Below are 20,745 nucleotides of genomic sequence, written 5' to 3'. Positions count from 1 at the left end.
CTGGTGGGAGGTGATTGGATCATGGGACCAGGTTTGTGATGAATGGTTTAGCATCATCCCACTTGGTACTGTCCTTGCAATAGTGAGTCCTAATGAGAGCTGGTCATTTAAAAGCGAGTAGTACCTCTCCCCTCTCTCACTTGCTCCTGCTCCTACTATGTAAGGCACCTGATTCCTCTTTGCCTTCCATGATCGGAAGTTTCCTGAGGCCTCCCCCAAAGCAGAAGTGCCTGTGCTTCCTGTACAGCCTGCAAAACTGTGAGCCAATTACAACTATTTTCTTTAAAAAATCACCCAGTCTCAGGGCGTTTGTTTATAGCAATGTGAGAACAGACTGAAGCAAAAAGTATACTTTGAGGGTAACCCTACTTAGGGGCATTGGCAAATACTGTTCAGAAAGTCCAAACATCCACAAACTTTAACAAAAGGGGTAGTCTAAGTGTTCTCTCCTCTCAAGCTCAGTTTTTCCATCATAGAATGGAAGATTTGGAGGATGTGATTTTTTTTTTCTAGAGATGGAGTCTCACTTTGTCACCCAAGTTGGAGTGCAGTGGCCCCATGATCTTGGCTCACTGCAACCTCCACCTCCCAGAGGTTCAAGCGATTCTCCTGCCTCAGCCTCCCAAGCAGCTGGGATTACAGGCACTTGCCACCATGCCCAGCTTTTTTTTTTTTTTTTTTTGTATTTTTAGTAGAGATGGGGTTTCACCATGTTGGCCAGGCTGGTCTCAAACTCCTGACGTCAGACGATCTGCCCGCCTCAGCCTCCCAAAGTGCTGGGATTACAGGCGTGAGCCACCGTGCCCAGCCAGAGGATGAGATCTTTAAGACCAGTTCCAACCCTGAATTTCAGTGACACTCTATATGCATTCTTTGTATGCTATGAGATAGCCATTAGGCAAAGTTCATTTTCCCTTAAACCTTACCCATGTGTCAGAGGTTCCTGAAAAGTGACATAGGTCCCTGTATCCACTTGGCACCACAAGACAACCATTATAATTGTGGGGTGCTATGGCCCTGTTCAGTCTCCACCACAGCTACCTGGAGAAGTTATTTCCACACCGTCCTGGCCAAACAAATCAGTCAGCCATTTCTGAGGGAGGCCAACCCCTGTAGTGTATCTCTGCCAGGCAGGCAGGCAGATGCCACCTTCTGACAAGGAGCTCCTGAGGTTTAGTAAGAGGAACTCCAGCTTCCAGACTCCTTGTTTTTGCCACTGTTCCCTTTCCTGCTCAGTCAAGTTTTCCTGCATGCCCTGCTCATGACCTAGAGGCAGGTCTCTTTCTTTGCCTTTTGCTTTTTGCTTCTGGATTATACTAATTTAATCTCATGAAGCTGATTTTTGCATTCAATTACTGTTTCTGTGCACCCTCAGCAATTATAACTCAGTTGTTCATTCAGAGAAGTCTTTGGGTTCTAACAGGCACCCCATGACTATTCAGAGCACAGGGAGACAGATATTCTAGACAGGCCCCAGCCCTATTCTAAAGAAAGGATGCATACATTTACAGATTGAAGGAGGGCAGACTGCATTTTACTGGTCCCTGCCTCTGACATATAAAATAAAAGAAGGTTCCTCATCTAACAGACCACATGGTAACTTTACAGGTATTATCTGTGAAGCTCTGTCCTTTCTTGCGGCATCCACCACACTGGAGCACAGATTTGCATCCTACATATGTCCTCTATCAAGGAGGTGGGGCTCGTTAATACTCAGTAATGTCTTATGAGGCTTTTTCTAAAGGCCTTCCATATCCTAGAAATTAGCAGAGGCAAATCTGCTTCTCATTATCCTGACAGTCAATCATTTATATCTTCTAACTTGGGTGAGAGTAGAATGCAAAAGAAAGTGAGCCATTTGGCATGTTATTAGCACTTCTCTGGAGTCAGTTAGGTCACTGCTCCTGTTTCCCCTATCCCACTGAACTGTCCCCTTTCCTGGGTAGCAAATTTAACTCACGTTGTTGAATTACTGACATTTTGACTATCAATATAGATGGTGCTATGGTTTGAAGATGGTTTGTCCTCACCAAAACTCTCGTTGAGGCTTTGTCCCTGATGTAACTATGTTGAGAGATGGTGGGATCTTTACTGGGTGTTTGTGTCACAAGGGATTGGCCCTCATGAAGGGATAAATGCAGTCTCATGGTAGTGAGTCAGTTTCTACTCTGTGAGAATGAATTAGTTCTTGAGATAAAGATGACAGTTGTTATAAGGCAAGGTTTCCTCTCATGTTTGATTATTGCACGTGCCCACTTCCTCTTACTTGTCCTCCACATTATAACACAGCATGAAGCCCTCACCAAAAGCTGACCAGTTGTAGCTGCCCAATCTTGGGACTCCCAGCCTCCAGAATTATGAGTCAAATAAACTTCTTTCCTTAACAATTTACCCACTCTCAGGTATTCTGTTACAGCAAAAGAAAACAGATTAAGACTTAAAGAAACAAACCCCGGAATCCACCCCTCTGCAACCCAAATGGTCTTTCTCAAATGAGTTTCATTATATGAGCTCCATTTTCTTCCAATTCTCCCAGTATCCTTAGGGGTTTCCCCTGTTCATCTACACATTCAACAATCAGTCTAGCAACATGTATGTAGAGCATTATTGGATGAGGATGACTTTCTCAAAAAAAGAATCTGCCATTAAATAAAACCACTTATTTTACATATTAGAAAATGTTCTTTATTATAGAATGGCTTTCTTTAAATTATGTACACACAAGATTGCACACAAACTTTTCTGTGAGCTGTATGTGTATATTTATGTGTTTGTATGTGTTTGTGTGTGTGTGTGTGAGAGAGAGAGAGAGAGAGAAAGAGAGAGGTTGGGGGAGTGGGAGAGCTTTGTAGAAGCTGCTTCCTCCACTGAGTTAGCACAGAGTTTAGGGAGGATTTTTGCATAAGGAGTGCAAGGTCGTGTAGAAAAGAAGAAATACAGACCTAGCTTCTAGCTTTTTTCAGACTCAAAGGTAGAGAGACAGTATGAGGTAGATCAAGATCAATGACATCTTTGGAAAATAAAGTTACTCTGAGGATGTCCAACTGGCCCCTGCACTGACATAAGGGCAGAAGAGTGGAAGGTTGATTTGGAACGTTGGGTTGGGTCCTGAAGTCTGAGATGCTGGAAGCTGTCCTATTGTAGCCCTCTGTGCTGGCTGGTATCCAGGAGGGATGGCAATGTGAATGGTACCTCAGGAGCCTGATCAGAATGGGTTCAGTGATCTGACCTGACTTACTCAACCCTAGAATTGTTGGATCATTAGCCCCATCCCTCACACACACACACACACACACATCTTGGAGAAGCACCTCAGTGAGGGCAAGGATCTGCAGGAGTTTTACCAATACCAGCCTCGCGAGCCTCAGGGCTTTAAATGTGAGCCTTGCTGATAGTGCTGCTTCAGCACAGGGACCTGACAGCATCTATGTGGTGAAGGGAGGCCATGTTTATTTGGGAGTTCAATACATTGATTAAGCATGATCCTAGAAAGGAGAAGCCAATTCATTTTAAAGAATCACAGTGGCCTGGGAAACTGCCCACTCTGATGTGCGGAGATGGCATGAGAAAAATGTCAGCCTGGCCACATCACTGCAGACATAGATGGTCCTGCCCTTGACTCTTTGGCCCACAGAACATTTCTTTATTAGGATCACTCGTTAAGGAAAAGTGTAGTCTCTGAAGAGGGCAACTCCTTATGGCACTTACCCTGATGGCATTAACACTCTTTCTGAAGGCATTTGTGTCATCCCACAGTCCAAAAATGCATGCTCTTAAATTATGCCCTCCGTAAAATGAGAAACAAGCACGACTCCCGTGTCAAACACTGGTATAATCACTTGTGAATTTCTGGAAAACCAAGTGACAGGGACCTGAGAGATTGGAATTTATTCTTATATGGGCATGTGGGAACCTGAGAATTACTCCCTGGGATACTGTTTCATGGACCCATTATTAATCAATAAAATAAATAGCTGATTTTTCATCAGAAACCATGGAGGTTAGAAGACAGTAGGGTGATACATTTAAAGTGTCAAAAGAAAACTAAAACTGCCAACCAAGAATTCTACATCCAGTAAAACTATCCTCAAAAATGAAGGAGAAATAGACATTTCTAGGTGGACAAAAGCTGACAGAGTTTGTTGCTAGTATTATAAAGGATTGTGTTTCTATATGCTAGCAAACTGTCTGAAAAGAAAATTAAGAAGGCAATCCTATTTATAAAAATACTGAAAAGGAATAAAATACTGAGCAATAAGTTTAACAAAGGAGGTGAAAGATTTGTACAGTAAAAACTAAAATACATTGATGAAAGAAATTAAAGAAGATACAAATAAAATACATCCTATGTTCATAGATTGGAAGACTTGATATTGTTAAAATTTCCATACTACCCAAACTGATCTACAGATTTAATATTATTTCCATAAAAATCCCAATGCCATTTTTTTACAGATATAGAAAAAAATCCTAAAATTCATGTGGAGCAGCAAAAGACCCAGAACAGCCAAAACAATCTTGAGAAACAGAACAAAGCAGGAGGCATCACACTTCCTGCTTTTAAAGTATGTTATAAAGCTACAGTAGGCATTATTATCTTATTACCCACTAGGTATTTTTAGATATTATCACCTATTAATAGGTATTATTAATATTTTAATAGGTCTTATTAGTAGGTAACATCTAATATTAATTATTGCATATTAATATTAATTATTACATATTATTACCTAACATCTCAAATGGTAAATTTGAAGGTCCCAGTTGTATTAGTTTACTATAACAAATCACCACAGATTAGTACCTTCAAATAATACACATGTGTTATAGTGTTGTAGGTCAGAAGTCTGAGGTGAGTCTCTGGGACTAAAATAAAGATAAAGGTAATGTTGCATTTTTCTCTGGAGGATCTAGGAGAGAGTTAATTTCTCTGCCTTTTTCATCTTCCAGAGGCTGACTGCATCCCTTGGTTCATGACCCCGTTCCTCCATCTTCAGAGCCAGCAATGGAGACACAAGCTCTTCTCACATCACATCACTCTCTGCTGTCTCCTCTTCCACTTTTAAGACTCTTGTGATTATATTGGGCCCAACCCAGGATATTCTTGTTATTTTAAAGTTAATTTCATTTGCTACTTTACCTAAGATATTCACAGGTTCCAGAGAGTAAAATATGGACATCTTTGGAGGCAGAGGCATATATTATTCTGCCTATACCATTTAAGCACTTTGTACCAGCCATTGGATTAGATATTGGGTTTACAAAGAGGAATAAATCTCAGGGGCTTCCCATTTTATGATATAAGCAAAAAATAAAATGATGCAGGGCAATGACAGAAATAATCACAGCATAGTATCAAAGTATCCATCCCAGCTTCTGTTGGAGGTGGGTGGTATAGTAGAAGGTTTTCTGAAAGAGGAGATATCTGGAATTAATTCCTAGGATTAATAAGTATCCACTGGGTAAAGAATAGGGCCTGCAAGTCACCCATTTCTCTAATGTGCCCCAAACATGGCAAATGTCCTTCCTCTATAACTCGGCTGATAAAGTCTCCTATAATTACAAGGCTGATGGCAGCTAAATGAGAACTTATTTAACATTTATTGATTTGCCAAATATATACTGAGGACCTATAATATGTGAGAACATATGCGGGCCATCAAAGCTGCAACAAGACAGAACATACAAGGTCTCTACATTTGTGGTGCTTATGGACCTGCAGAGGAAGCATGGAAGCATTCACCTGACAAACTACTTAGGAACTAGGCTTGTGAATCTGTCCAGAGAGGTGATGCTTTTCAGATCCCAAGTCTTACAGGAAGAGAACAAATCTCCCATCTCCCCGAATTCCTGATGAACAACAGATGCTACCCCTGAAGTTTGTCATCACAAACCAAAGCAAGAGAAAGTTCACAGCTCACTGACTTGGGTGTAGTTCTGGCTGAACAGCTCCCACACCTGTGACAGAGCTGCTGCCAACCACAGAAACCACTGCTTCACCCTGTTCATGACCCCAGGTCCTCCCATGGCACCACCCTCGAAAGTGGCCAGCTACTGGCCCTGCTTCTAATTCTGGAACTATTTTCTGTTCCAGGATCGTGGAGTTTTACAGGATCTCATGGGTTGTCACAGAAGCCTGGACATCATTTGCATGCTGTTTCCATTGGAAAATCCTCACGTATGACTTCTAACTGAATTATAATAATATTCTACAACATAACCATCCACAGGTTAGGGAAGGCCTGTAGGGACTTCAAGTACATTTCCTATAGAAAAAGCAAGTTCCAAAGAAGAGATATAATGAGAATAATATGAAAAATAATCACTTAAATGTAATAAAAGCTTTACGGTTTAAGATGAATATTTGGATTTTTCAAATCATTTGATCCTTACAGCCATCTTGCAAGGTGGGTATCATTTTTAGCTCCATTTGAAAGGTGAGAATCCTTAGGCACAGAGCGATGAAGTGACTAGGTCCAGATGATACTGCTGAGATTCAGGCACTTTACCCCAAAACCTTGCTTTTACCTCTCTGCTGTGAGAGAACATACAGCCACTTTCCTCCTCCGCACAAAGGAGCTCTTTCCAGCCTTTGTGGTCACCATCAGAGAAGTGGCAGTGGGGCAACTCATTCCCTGAGATGTCAGTGTCATTCTAGAATTGCAGCTTTTTGAAGCCCAATTTTGTTTCATCTGCTCAGTGAAGTCCTCTCCAGGCCCTCACCATCACAGACATTCATTCATGTCAAAGCCTTGGTCTCTTTGTTGCGGCCATTGTTTACACATTTGTGGGCAACAGACTTGCCTTTCCAATGGAATTCTTTTCATGAAGATGGTAGCCACAGTTGCCTTTGTTCATTGCTGGATCCTTAGGACCTCACCTAGTACTAGAACACTGTAGGCATTTAATACTTAATGTATAAAGAAATGATCTCTTTGAAGACAAAGTCATATTTTACGAACATTGGTTGTTTCCCAAGACCTAGGATAGTTCAGTGTTATTCACACTGGGAAGTTGCTGTTGACTGTTTCAAATGAGTGAATTAATGAATGAGGAGTGAGTGAATGGATAAATGAAAGTATAAGTGACTGAATCTATGAATAAATGTGGGAATGAAAAAGTGAACAAAATAAGCATGCAACTTCTGTTGGGATTGAGAATTGAGCTGTGAGTATAGTCCATGAGCAGGTGTTTGCAAGGAGAAGCGAATTCACCAGAATTCAGTCCTAATCAGGCCTCTTATTATGTCCTGTGAGACCCTTAATCATCTAGTATTCTGGAATTTCATGATTCAAACTTGTGTTATGGTAGAAATTCTACCTAAAAATGAAGGACATATTCTATCTGTATATTAAAGGAACCTACAAGTTCTTCATCTGAAAACTATACCTAAGCTCCCTTTAATCAAGTTTGAACATTATTCAGGTGACTGCATTACTTTTATTTACTTATAATCAAGTACCAAAGCTCTTGCAGCAAGCAGGATGGCAAATGGAAATAACAGGCACTTTTTTACATGTTCCTGCTCAAATCCAGTTCTGCCACTTATTAGCTGGGTGACCTTGGATGAGTTACTTAACCTCACTAAATCCCAATATCTTCGCTGTACAATCAACTCAAAGCTGTCAGAGTCACAGAATCATAATGAAGAATAAATGACTGAATATATGTAAACCACTAGGCATAAAGTCTGGGAAAGAATAGGTACTAAGCGAGTCTTTGCATCAATAGCCTGAACATCTATGTTGCCACACTACTATTTGCTTGATATGATTCTTCTTATTGGGAATTAGCCTATTCCCAATATTCAGTTCTAAATGTCCTTATAATACACGGGTAGCATTACAAATTGTGTGTGTGTGTGTGTGTGTGTGTGTGTGTGTGTGTGTGTGTGTGTTCAACTATTGAACTGTGGCCTTTAAGGCACAGAAACAAGCTGACTGTGGGGGTTTCCACTGAGTTCATGGGAGGTGAGCAGGAGGGGAGAGATAGCATCAGTAAATTTTCATATTTAGGATCCTGCTCTCTCCTGTGAAACTTGGGCTCTACCTCTGAGGAAGCAAAAGCTTTTCCACAGCAATGCTGCACAGTTAATGCTGATTAATTACAGCAGAATATTTTAGAAATATTAGTTGCTATGTATTATATTTATTAAAAAAACACATTCATACTAACAAGCAAGTCGCTGCTAAATGTGTAAGTTCACTTTTCTCCACCACAGGCCTTTAATTTGTTCTGAACACAAAGAGAGCAATGTCTTGGCAGATTTAGGAATTGAGAGTCCACTTTTCTTGCTGGTTGTTGGAATTAACTTGAGCAAGACCTTTCCCATCTAGAGAATTCAGGGAGTTAGAACCATAAGATATGCAGCCTTTTCTACTTCTCGATTTGTGAGAGTCTAGAACACCCAGGTCCCTGCTGTGTTTCTGCTCTTAGACCTTGAAGCCTTCCAGAGTAAAATTCCTAAATTGGCACAGACGAACCTTTTTGGCATCAAATGGCTCTTATGAAACAGCACACTGATGAATTAAATGAAATGATTCAGAAAAACACCGATTAAATTTCCCTTTAAATACTCAGGGGTTTAGAAATTAAGCAAAACTGCTTGGCACTATGCAGTCTGAATTTTAACAAACCCAAAATGTTTGAAAAATTATTCAAGATGTTTTGACAGAGAATGCCACTATGTTCATCTTTTTTTCCCTGACATCTGTTTTCATCCATAAAAGAGAAAACAGAATTGGGGTGACTAGCTGGTATCCCAGAAAGGACTTTCTCCTATCAAATGGAATAATCCACAGATCTCCTTCTAATACTCACTGGCTTTCTTGTTCTGTTGAAAAGTGATAGAGCTGGTTTGCTTGATTTCACAATTGAAGCAAAATAAAACTGAGTAACTATGAATAGCACAAAGTGATGACCCTAAACACTGAGGTCATTATTTTTAAAGGAAAAAAAAATAATTCCAATTACATGAATTGAATGTCTAATGTTGCCTGGCCTGAGCAGTAAATGCAATAAATGTGAAATACTCCCTCCTGCCTTCAGCCTACTGCCCCCAACATCACCACCAGCAGTCTGGGCCCCTGACCCTCACTCTCCTTCCCAAGGAGGGTTGTGCCATTTGGCAGGAAATAGAAAGACTCCTGAGAGAGCATGTGGTTGAGTAAAAAGAGTTCAGAATGAAGACTCAGAGGTCTCTGGGCTTCAGCTCCAAACCACCACTGCCTGGCTGGATTACCAGGAACAAGTCAGGTTTCATCCAGAAGGTGGCTGCCCTCAGTGACCCCTCCTAAAAAGTGCACAGGATTGGCAATCTCCAAGATAAGTCACCTCCAGTTCTGGAGCATTCTAAGATACTGTCAGGTTATGTTAATTGTACTTTCACAGATGGAGAGTATAGTTTTAAAACTTATACTGATAGACAAATGAGTCACTGATTTTCTAGTTTAATATAACTTTCCAAACAAATATTATCCCCTCACCCAAGTGAGAAACATATCCATGAGTGTATACACACATATCTATCATCAATCAATCTATCTATGTCTTTCTTCTCCATGGAACTATTGCTGATATCACTCATCTCATTTATCCAACTATTGAATTTTCTCATCTTACAATTTACAAAGTGTATTAGTTATCTTATCTTCTTCTCACAACTCTTAAATGGATCAATTAACTCTGTCTTCAAATAATGCTCAAGGAAACTGGTACTTCTCAAGGTGAATTCCCTAAGGTGATATAACTGATAAGTGGCAGGGCTGGGGCTGAGCCTAGGTCTCCTGATATTGGTCTTAAAACATTTTCCTTATAACTTGGGCTGGACTCATTCAATCATGGTCACAGTCTCTGAGGCTGCAAAGGGATATAAAAGGCCATATCTTTGGAGCCCTGGAGCCCTGGAGCAGCAGCAAGCCAGTAGGCTCTTTCCTGTGGTTTTTGTGACCCAGAGCCATTTGGATAATTACCAGGCTGAGATCGGTGAGGCGCAGCCATTCTTTGGCAACTCGGTAAAACAATGCAAGAGAAACAGTTTCCATTGTCTACTCCCAATTCCCCAAGCATGTCAGCAATGAAACTGGGCTGGTTCAGGGTTTCTCATGGCAATCACAGTAGATTTCAAGACTTAAAAGCCAAGTTCATGCTAGAGAAATGAGAAGCCACAACTTTTCACCCTTGCCATTTTATATGCTCTGTAAACTCCCTGTAACTGTGAAATCGGGAAGCTGTAAGGCACCCAAGAGACATCACTGAGCTAGCACTGGTGTTTCACAGCACATGGAGACTGATAACAAAGCCATGGAGATGAATATGCTGTAATAATGATTACAAACAGTCACCTTATAGATCAGATATTTATCTATTTATCATCAGTTATAGTCCAGAAAACCCTTGTATATTTGTTATATCACGTGGTCCTTCAAATAATCCTGTGAGGGAGAAAGGATAAGAATTTTCTTCCGACTTTACAGATGAGGAAGATGAGAATTGCAGAGTCTTGGGAAATGGTACCAACCCAGTCGCTTGGACTGGCAAGCATCCTTTCACCTCATCTCCCTCACTTGTCACAGCTGATCCATCACTGACTCCTTGCCCTCCCTCCACCAAAGTATGTATAAAATCCATCCACCTGTCTGTGTATTCCCTGCTACAGAACTAGTCAAAAGCCCATCTGCCCCTCTCTGACCCTATTGCAGCAATGTCCTAATTGGTCTCTCTGTGTTTTTCCCTGCTTTCTGAAATTCAGATGGAATCTAGGGTCCCTGGGTGGTGCTACACTGATCTCAGTGGGTATCTAGACTCTCAATAGAACCTGCCTGCCTTCCCCACTGCTCCCTTCTCTTCAGCTCACTCTCACATCTCTTCTCTTTGCTTTCTGTGCTCCAATTACATTGGACTTCTTTCAATTCTCAAACTTCCTGTGCTGTCTCCTGCCTTAAGGCCTTTCCACATGTCATTCTCTCTGTTGAAATGTCTTTCCTTGCCCCCTCCCCTACTCGCTCCCATTCCTCTTTGCCATAACTAGGTATCTTTCTGTCCTATTTTAATATTACTTTCTCTCTCATTTCCCTCTCACAAAATTGTAACTTGTATATAGCCCAGATCTTATTCAGAGTCTGACATGCATGCAATAGTGCTTAAATAGTATAATTTTTTCAGTGAATAAGAAAATGAATTAAGTCTCAGCAAAGGTCCAAATCCCAGGTCTTTACACCATCAGTTTAAGTTTTGCTCCAGCAAACATCTATTGATTTAAAATAACTGAATAGTACCTCTTGATTTAAAATTGCCAGGTGCCCTGATGGTCCATAAACACAGGCCAGCTTTCCACCTTTCTTTCCATACAGAGAAGCTTCTCTGGATTCCTTAGTCTTTTGCCCTAAAGAAATTGGCCTATATTCCAGAAAAGAAATGAGTAACCACTTTTCCTTATTCCTTGAGTCATGAACCAGTCAAAAGAAGCCAACTTTGTGGCCATTCCTCAAGCCAAAATTTCATTCAGCAAGGGGCTCTCTGAATATTGAGTATTTAGAACCCCAAAGTTCCTGGGCCATTAATGTTTCCTGATGCACCTTTTATAAAATGTGGGAATATAGGGAGATTTATGAGTTGCAGCAGCATCAGGGCTCTAAGTCATGGACATTCTGAACACCCAACTGGCTGAGCAGGGAGGACCCCAGCTCCCAGGCTGTTGCATGTGTCAGGACATTGAGCAGCAGACACTGCCATGGCAGAGCAGCCAGAGGCTCTGATTCAAAGCTGAGTCCATCTGTCCATCTAAGAGAATCTACGTCATCAGCCAAAGGTTAGCAGAATCTAGTCGCAAATCACTCAGTTTAATTCAGGGTATCTCAAATTCAGTGCTATTGATATTTTATACTGGATAATTCTTTCCTTTAGGGGGGCTACTCTGTGTACTGCAGGATGTTTAACAGCATCCTTGGCCCCTACCCACTAGATGCCAATAGTGAACCCTGTCCCCTGCCCCTCCATATGTGACAACATAAATGTCTCCAAACATTGTCAAGTTTTTTGGGGAGAAGGGGAATGATAATATCCTTTGGTTGTGAAGCACTGCTTTAATAGGACTTAAAACCTTGGGCAAGTTACTTAATGCATTTTTGTTTGACGAATTTTCACTCTTGTTGCCCAGGCTGGAGTGCAGTGGCACGATCTTGGCTCATTGCAACCTCCACCTCCTGGGTTCAAGCAATTCTCCTGCCTCAGTCTCCTGAGTAGCTGGGATCACAGGTGCGCACCACCATGCTTGGCCAATTTTTGTATTTTTTTAGTAGAGACGGGGTTTCACCATGTTGGCTAGGCTGGTCTCAAACTCCTGATCTCAGATGATCTGCCCAACTTGGCCTCCCAAAGTGCTGGGATTACAGGAATGTACCTAATGCATCTTATCTAATTTTTCTTATCAGGCAAAATAATAGAAAACAAAAGCATTAATCTATTTGTTAGAACTAATGGAAATATATGTGCGGTGTCTAGCCTAGGACTAGTGCAAAGTGGGTGCTCAGAAAATCTGGCTGAGTAAACTAATTCTTGCTTTGGGGAAAAAAAATAATTTGAGACTGTAAGACGAGAAGAAATGCCAGAGTCAGCTCCTGTGACTTCATACTGGAAACCTGCTGCCCCCCAAGTCCCATCTGCAATGACAGAAACTCCTATGAGGAAAGGAGTGTGAGCACATTTTGCTGAAGCTAAAGGATTTCACACATCCAGTTTATTTTGCAACAGAATCACATCTCTTTCAAGGCATTCTTTCTACCTGGCCTCCAGAAGACATTATTTGTATGTGTGGGCTGTTTGTTGGTGAGGGCAGCTGCTGTGGACAGTGTATTAGGAGGAGCTGTTCCCAAAGGAGGTCCAAGGTGGGTTTCATCGCAGAAAGGTAGCAATGCAAACAGAGGGGCAGCATGGGTAATATAGAAAGGTAAATGGCAGAGGCTTCAGAGGGAAGCAGAGTTGAGGTCAGAACCTCAGCCCTGCTCCTTGCTGTGTGAGCCTCATCATTCAACCACCTGAGCTTTGCGGTATTCATCCCAGGGATGTTGTCAGGAAATGGAATCATGCCTCAGGATTCAGCACAGTGCTGGAATCCAGCAATCACCTAATGAATGTAAGCATTAATAATAGCTACTATTCCTACATTAACTTTTACTGTTATTGTTTTATTGATATTATCACCATCATCATTATTGGCCAGAGTGGTTTTAAGTGCATTTCCTTTACTAAGTTCAAATCTGCTACCTCCTGGAGGCAGCAGGATCCATCTCCTTGATTCTGAAGGCTGTGAAACAGGCAGGCTGTTTTAGCCCACTTCTCTTTGAGAAGGGCTTGAGGCCCGTTTGGGGTAAAAATCTGTGTAGTTTCTCATCCCTGGACTTCAAAGTGGCTTTATCTCTCTTGGCAGGTTAGGCTACCAGGAATACTGAACATATTTCTGTCACACCCATTGCCAAGGTTGCAATTTGAGAAAACAAATAGGGATTTACAGATAGCAGCTTTCTTCTTCTTCTATTGATAGCCTGAGATAATTCATGGCTAGGTTTGGACAAATGCAAAAATGTGCATTTAGTTTGGATTTGGATTCATTCCTCATGAATATTAGTCATCTCAGCCCAAAATGCAAGCATTTCTCTGTTTCAACAGATGGGAAGATGTACTGTGAAATCATACTGTAGCACAGGGAGAAAACAAGAAGGCTGAAATTAAATTTAAGCATAAGTCTTGGCACAGTGGGATGAAGTGTGCATCGTCATATATTTCCCTACAAAATAAGGAATGTGCTTTTAGGTGTGGTTTACATTCTTGTAAAAACAATGGGATGGGAATATTTATCAACCATGTTTGCTTGCTGATTTAACTCCCTATAGGAGTGTTTTTATGCAGATAACTCTTCATGCAGAATTTCCTTTTACTGAATGCTCAAATCAGAGACTGGCTCAGAATCTGTCATGTTCTATTGATAATGATGAAAATATGATTCTGAGGCCCTGTTACTTTCCTGGTCCTCTTCTGCTTGTTGGCATTCCATGGCCTTTGGAGGTCACTTTTGGTGATTCCCACTATCATGGCAGAGACCAGACCAGTATTGGACAGCTGGTGGCCCTGGGGAAAGGAGGTGAAAGAAATGGGAGAGAAATATGAAAAAAAAATTTAAGAAAGAAAATGAAAGAAAGAATGAAAGAATTAAAGTGGGAGTACTTCAAGTTCATGTTTGTTCTGTTCCATCACACCGATTAATGGAATTTAATAAAATGCACGTATTAATTCCATTGATAAGTTTTTGTTAACTGTCTACTTTGTATCAGACACTGTGATAGGTACTGGGGTAAAAGTAAACTGTTATGATAACAAATCCAGAATCCACCTAACATTGAATAGATAAATACACAACTCTAGTTCCCATATTTTTTCTGAAGATTTTCATTAACTGGTGTGTCAATATGACAATAGCACAGTAATTCCTGCCCTCTAAAAATAAACAAAAGGCCATACAAGACATTGAAGTTCCTTTTATATCAAAGAATGACTTTTACCATAGTTTGGTTTAATGTTTTCCTATTAACATTGGAATTCACTGAATGCAAGCAAATCCGATGGACTATATCTAATAAGTTCTTAAGATAATGTTATTGATTATCTAGGAATTCTCATTGACTTTTCAGTGACAAAATACAGCTTCTCGAAAGTAATTCTGGTTAGAGATCACAAGAAAATTTTTCCAGAATAATAAATATACAGAACATTAGCCTTGTAATAGATTGTAGAGATTTGTTTTTTCTGAACACCACCTTCATTTATGGATGAGACAAATACAGTAACTGAAAGAGTCACTAAGGAATGATTTTATTGCAAGTATTTTTAAAAGGTAGATCAAACACAGCTAAATTTTGTCAAATACCTGTTATGTTCCCAGTTTAGTCACAGGCACATTTATAATACAATCCCTTTTAATCCTACTTAGGATACTGGGAGGCAAATACAATGTTTTCCATTTAACAGGTGAGAAAACAGAAGCTCAGAGAACATAAGTCCCTCATCCTGGGTCACACAGTTAATCTCCAGAATTCAAGTGAGAAGTTTCACTATCTGTTGTCGTAGTTAGTAAGAAATTGTACTACCTAAATTCTTTGAGTTACTTGTATATTTAATGAAAAATCTTTTATGAAACTATTTTGCCACTTAGCCTTTTATGCTAGAAATAGAATTGAGAAGATTTTTGCTATTTATATGATGTTTTAATTGAGAAATTCAAATATCGTTGGGAATAAAGTATCTTTATACTGGTAAAAAAAAAAAACATAAATGAAATAAAATATCAGATTGTACTTATTTATCAGGTTCCCAGGTTCTATATCAAATCATTGGCTAGATTGATTGCATAGTATTTGCTAATTCTTTTTAAAATATATTTTTAAATTCTTAAAAATAAATATTGAATAATAACTATAAAAAAAAAAGATGTCAGGGAAAACAGGAGTGAAAACAAGGTCACTTTTATAGCCTTTTAAAGAGGAAACTCAAAGCTTTTATAGCCCCAGCTTAGCTCTAACTGGGTGGGTAATTAGTCTCTATAACATGGTCTCACTATGCAGATACATGTGTGGAGTAAAACAGTTGTGCCCAGATGACTCTCCTCCACTCCAAGGCTGCTGTCTCAAAATTACTGGAGGTGATCATTTAAATATAGGTTCCTATTTCTGACCTCACAGATTTCAGCAATTTTGGAATGGCTCAAAAATCTTTATTTTATTTATAGCTCCTTCTGATATTCTGCTATTCAGCTTTGCAAAACAATTGATTGTGTTAAGAATATTCTACTTACACAAGATACTCTGTTCAACTACGAGGTTTTTTTAATCATATTAATTGTGGAGGCTTGGGAAAATCAAGTCAAATTTCTGAACTTTATACTCCACACTATAGATGGAGGGAAACTGAACCTTAATGATATCTGGGCCACCACCCAAGGCCACACTTCACAAGAGATTGTGTGTGTAAAAGTATTTTAAATTCTAAAGTTGTTTACAATGTCTATAATGTTAGTGGCTGCGCCAGCAACTCTGTAGGTAAGGAAGTAGTTTTGAGTGTCATATCATGTACTGTCCTTGGTACCTTACCTTCTCAACCATCAATGTTCATGATTGCTTGAAACAGAAGGTACAGAACTTTCTCTCTGTTGCATCTGCAAGGTTTCCAGGTCCCTTGTCCCCAACCCATAATCTCTGGTTTACCTTTCCTTGATTTCTGACTTTGTATTTAGTGCTTGTGCTCTGATTGCCTCCTAGGGCACGGTACTTCCTCTGGTTACCTGGTTACACCCTCATGCCTTGTCTTCACTCTGCAACCTGCAAAAATGAATTAGCCCCTCCCTCTTTCTAGCGGACATCTGGTTCCTGGAATTCCATTATAGACATAAGTTCTAGTATTCTGGTTGTTTGGAAGAAACAGAGAGCAATCATTCTGCAAGTTAAATATTAGTATCTGCTATTTAAAAATAAATGAGAAAAATGAGTCTCAGTGATAATAAATAACCTTCCCAAGCTCCGCAACTACTAGGTAGAACTGGGATTTGCAGCTGGGGCAAATCCCAGTTCAGTGTGGCCCTGAATTCTGAGATTGTTCTACTAAATGATTGTAGCTCCCGAGGCTCCCTGGAAAATGGAAACTTCAGAGAAGAAAGGATAAGACAAAGACTTACATCTTATTTTACTTTGCCACACATATTGATCTACTTCAGCAGTAGATGGATTACACTCTGCCTTTGAGGACCATCCTCATTTTGAGGAGTACTTTCAGTTGCTCAGATAAATTTTCTCCGCTCTAGTCTATGTGGTCTTTGCTCCTGAAGGGAAGACCCATTTTTCTGTTTACCACCAATTTCACAGACCACAGAATTCACCTAAAATAATTTGTCTGTGCTTTACCTATTTTTTTTCTAAGTCAACCTTTTGCTGCTCTTCTAAAAGTAGAGTGTTCTCGGGCCCAGGAATCTGAAGACAAAGGTTAAGAGTAATATGAATCATTTTCTTTTCTTTTATATCACTTTTTTATAGTTACTGTGTGAATCTTTGGTTATGCCTATCACTTGTATTTTCCTATTAGTTTATCCCCAAAGCTTAGGACAGAGCCTGGGATAAAATACTTGTTCAGTCAATAAATAAAGAGATTCTTTAAATTTTTTGTATCAACAATACAATTATGAGGCAGGTCAAGTTAGGAGAGTATGCTGGAAAACTCTTTGTCATATGCTATCTGGTTCAGTTGAACAAAGCGGTGGTTTCTAAGTGTAGCCCATTGGCCACAGTGACCAAACAGAAAATATTGCAGGGCTCTCACTTTTTACCAGGCTCTCTGCTTCGTGTTAAGGGAAGACAGCATCAATTAAATAAGGTATTTACAGGGCACATATATCACTGGTTATGAGATTAGATTGTACTTAAAGACCACCCACCCCAGAAGCTCTGTGCATTGGGTTTCAGCTCATAAGTAGGGTGGTTGGGTAATGGGGGAGACTTGGAATTAGGAGGTCAGAGGGAGTAGACATCAATATTAACTAGAGTGGCTATGAAAGGCTTTGCACCCAGAATAAGTAAGGGAAGAATTGGTGATAAGAATATGCTTGGCTTACAGCAAGAAAAAAACAAAACAAAACAAAACAAAAACCTGTCTTGCTACATGATGACTTTTGGTGAAAAACAAAACAAAACAAACAAAACTGTGAGATACCATTGAGGCACAAACCGAGAACTGAGGCTGAATTGTGAAAAGTGATTTCGGTTTTGTTTTCTTATGCCAGGCTAGAGTTCTGACCTTTGGAGCTCAAACTTAATTATTCTTTCCCCTAAGGAGAGGTCCTCATTGGCTTATTGTAGTGGGAGCAAAATTGATCTAACCATACATAACTTTTCCTGTGTTTAAAAGGCCTTTATGTTTCTTTCAACTCCTTAAATTTTCAAAGGGAGGGGAAAAAGCATGTTTAGTTGCTTAATATTTCTGTATATCTTAAAGGACCCTTCATATTTATCATCAGAGACACACCAAAGCACATTACAAGTAATGCAAGCCATCTGGTGCTTTGCAGGCCAAAATCAGTTGATGGTTTAAGAGTAAAAACCATCCTTTTGTTAACATTTTTCTGGAGCACATCACCAAAGAATGCATAGCCTCTCTCTGCATTTTTCAGAAAAGAACTGTCATCTTAGCTCCTTTCTTCGGGTTTCTAAGTACTTCTAGGATAGGCAGGATTGATCTGATTTCTTTTGATAACTCTTTCAAACCTGTCTAAATCACCTTCTGAATATCAGTGAAATGGTTTAAAATGTGTACTGTGGATCTCCAGGTCTACCCACTTAAATCGTATCTAATAAACTTGCGTAAGGTTAGCAAAACCTCCTTATCTGGGACATAGGCTAACCTGTGTCCTTTGGTCTAAGTCAAGCACTGGTGATTGGTAAAGTAACTCAGAATGACTACTAGAGATTTGGCATTTTCACTGATTCCTTCTATTTCAAAATTCTGATTGAGTCTCAATTCATGGATCTCATTCATTGAGAATGCTCACTAAAATTCAATAGAGACCTAAAGAATAAATGCCCTGTGTATCCAGCCACTTACCTACTCCCCAAAATCTCCATGCTCCTTCCTATATCTACATATTTACATGTATTGCCCCCAAGTAATTCAAGGCCCATCCAAAAGACTAGCTCCTTCAAAAACTCTATTTGATCCTACTTCACCACTCCCCTCCACCCTACTCTGGCTAGTTTATTTTGAATTACACATAGTTTTATTAAATTATATTATCAGACTGTGAGCTGTTTAAAAGGCCAGAACTATGCCTGATTAAATGCTACATCATCCAGCCTTGTTGCCATCATGGTAACGAGCATAATTCTGAAATGTCATTATGCCTATGCCTATGCCTAGTAAATCATAGGAAGAAAGTACATGCTTGCATAAAGAAAGATGGGTAACGAAATATATCTGAGTTGAATTTTTGTTATATACTTAGTTGTATCTTTGAAGAAAGGTATTATACAAAAGAAAAAATATTACTATCATGAATACAGCAGTTGAGTTTGGTGCATGTAAAATTTTCCCAGCAAAATACTTCTGGAGGTAAATCTTAGGTTGAAAATCTTGGATCTAAAAAGGCTTACCTCCAGCAGAACTTTGCTGGGAACATTTTACATGCACTAAACTCAATTATCTAATTTCATCTTCTCAACAATTCTGAGGAAGTGGTTACTATTCACGTATTACAGATGTGTAAACTGAAACGCAAAGTAGTTAAAATGCTGACTTGGAACTATATCAGTACTCATAAATTTAAATGCTTTGCTTTTCTCTCTGGTACAAGGAGTTAGCTGGAGAGGAAAAGGGCAAATAATATGACACAAGGTGCCAGAAAAGAACCCCTATACCATTATCTGTGCCCCTATCCTGCCCCTGATACGAGAAAACTATCAACTTTATGGAGGGAAGTAGTATGATTCTGTCTTAACCTCTAGCTTTTTCTTTGAGTTTGGGCCCTTCCTTTAAGGAGAGGGCCATGAACTCCCAGAGGTCCAAGAATTCCTCCTGCTCCTGGTCACTAGGCATGTCTTGGAGTAGGGATGATGGTGTATAAAACCCTACTGGCAAAGGAAAAAATATGACTCACGGTAACATGTTGATTTCCATTGGAGCAGCTGGAGAGAAACATGGTTTCTGCCAACATCCACTGACGTCTCTTTGTGCCAACCTCCCAAAATAGAAATCCCTGAGAGAAAACAGGAGCATCCCTCAGAAACACAAGAAGTCTGTCTGGGGTTTAGTTACATATAAAGATTATACACTGAGCATCTAGGCTTCTGCAGGCCCCGCCCTGTGCTGAATTCTCACCAGGACTCCCTTCTTCTGCCCTCAGTCATTCAGCAGCCAACAATGCTCTTGGTGATGGGTTTCTCTTAGAAATGCTTCCCATTCTAGAGAAATAAAGTACCACAAGCATGAAATTGACATTTTGGCAAGTAGTGCCATTTGCCACCTTTCATCTTCCCGCAGGTTTCATTTTATTTAAATTAAGTCTTTCTGGTGAACTGGGGCTATTAACCCACCAAAGTAAATAAGAACTACACACACCAAAGGTAAAACCTTAGGCAGAGACAATGGCATTGCTAGCTTATTTGCTATTCCAAGTGACATTTCCTCAGATGTTTGCCGCCCTGCTGTGCAAACATAGCTACACATGAAATAAAGTAAAAAGAAAAAAAAATTAAACAGCAGTTAGTGGTTGGATGTTATTTCCAGTTTGGAACCACTGACAGGCTAGCTATAGAAAACTCTTCCCTCTGTTATTACAAATAACAGTTTGTGGATGGTGAAAAGAAAACAGAACTGAATTTTCTTTTAACTTCAAGTACAGAAGCTAGTGTGCCTATCATTACCACCACATTACAATACATTATGGGAGAAGGTCATAGTAACTTTAGAGGGGTTATTTCCATCCATGTCTCTCATCCTCTCAAAATTGTTATACTGGGACCAGGCTGATGCCAAATGCAATGCTAAAGAAAACACACCAAGTTGAAGTGAGCTAATTAGAGAGAATAAGACAGAACCAAAAGGTCAATGCATAGGCCCCAATACTGAAACAGGTTTTTTGTTTTGTTTTGTTTTGATTTTTTTTGCCACAATGCACCCTGACAAAGCAGCGCAATAAACATCCCTGCTTCTCCACTT

At 39.9% G+C, this 20,745-nt stretch overlaps 1 long non-coding RNA gene across 8 annotated transcripts in view; it reads right to left on the bottom strand.

The window, feature by feature from the left end:
- LOC105373456 (uncharacterized) overlaps positions 1 to 20,745 on the bottom strand; it is a 529,181-nt gene that overhangs the window by 179,434 nt on the left and 329,002 nt on the right. The window contains exon 3 of one of the 8 annotated variants that reach the window (XR_007086232.1): positions 12,331 to 19,783. The exons of the other annotated variants lie outside the window; for them this stretch is intronic. This is a non-coding gene — a long non-coding RNA (uncharacterized LOC105373456). Of the gene's footprint in view, positions 1 to 12,330; positions 19,784 to 20,745 lie in introns of those variants that run through there. 8 annotated transcript variants of the gene reach the window in all.

The sequence above is a fragment of the Homo sapiens genome, chromosome 2 (assembly GCF_000001405.40).
Source record: "Homo sapiens chromosome 2, GRCh38.p14 Primary Assembly".
Lineage (NCBI taxonomy): Eukaryota > Metazoa > Chordata > Mammalia > Primates > Hominidae > Homo > Homo sapiens.
This window is presented reverse-complemented; position numbering and strand designations above follow the sequence as displayed.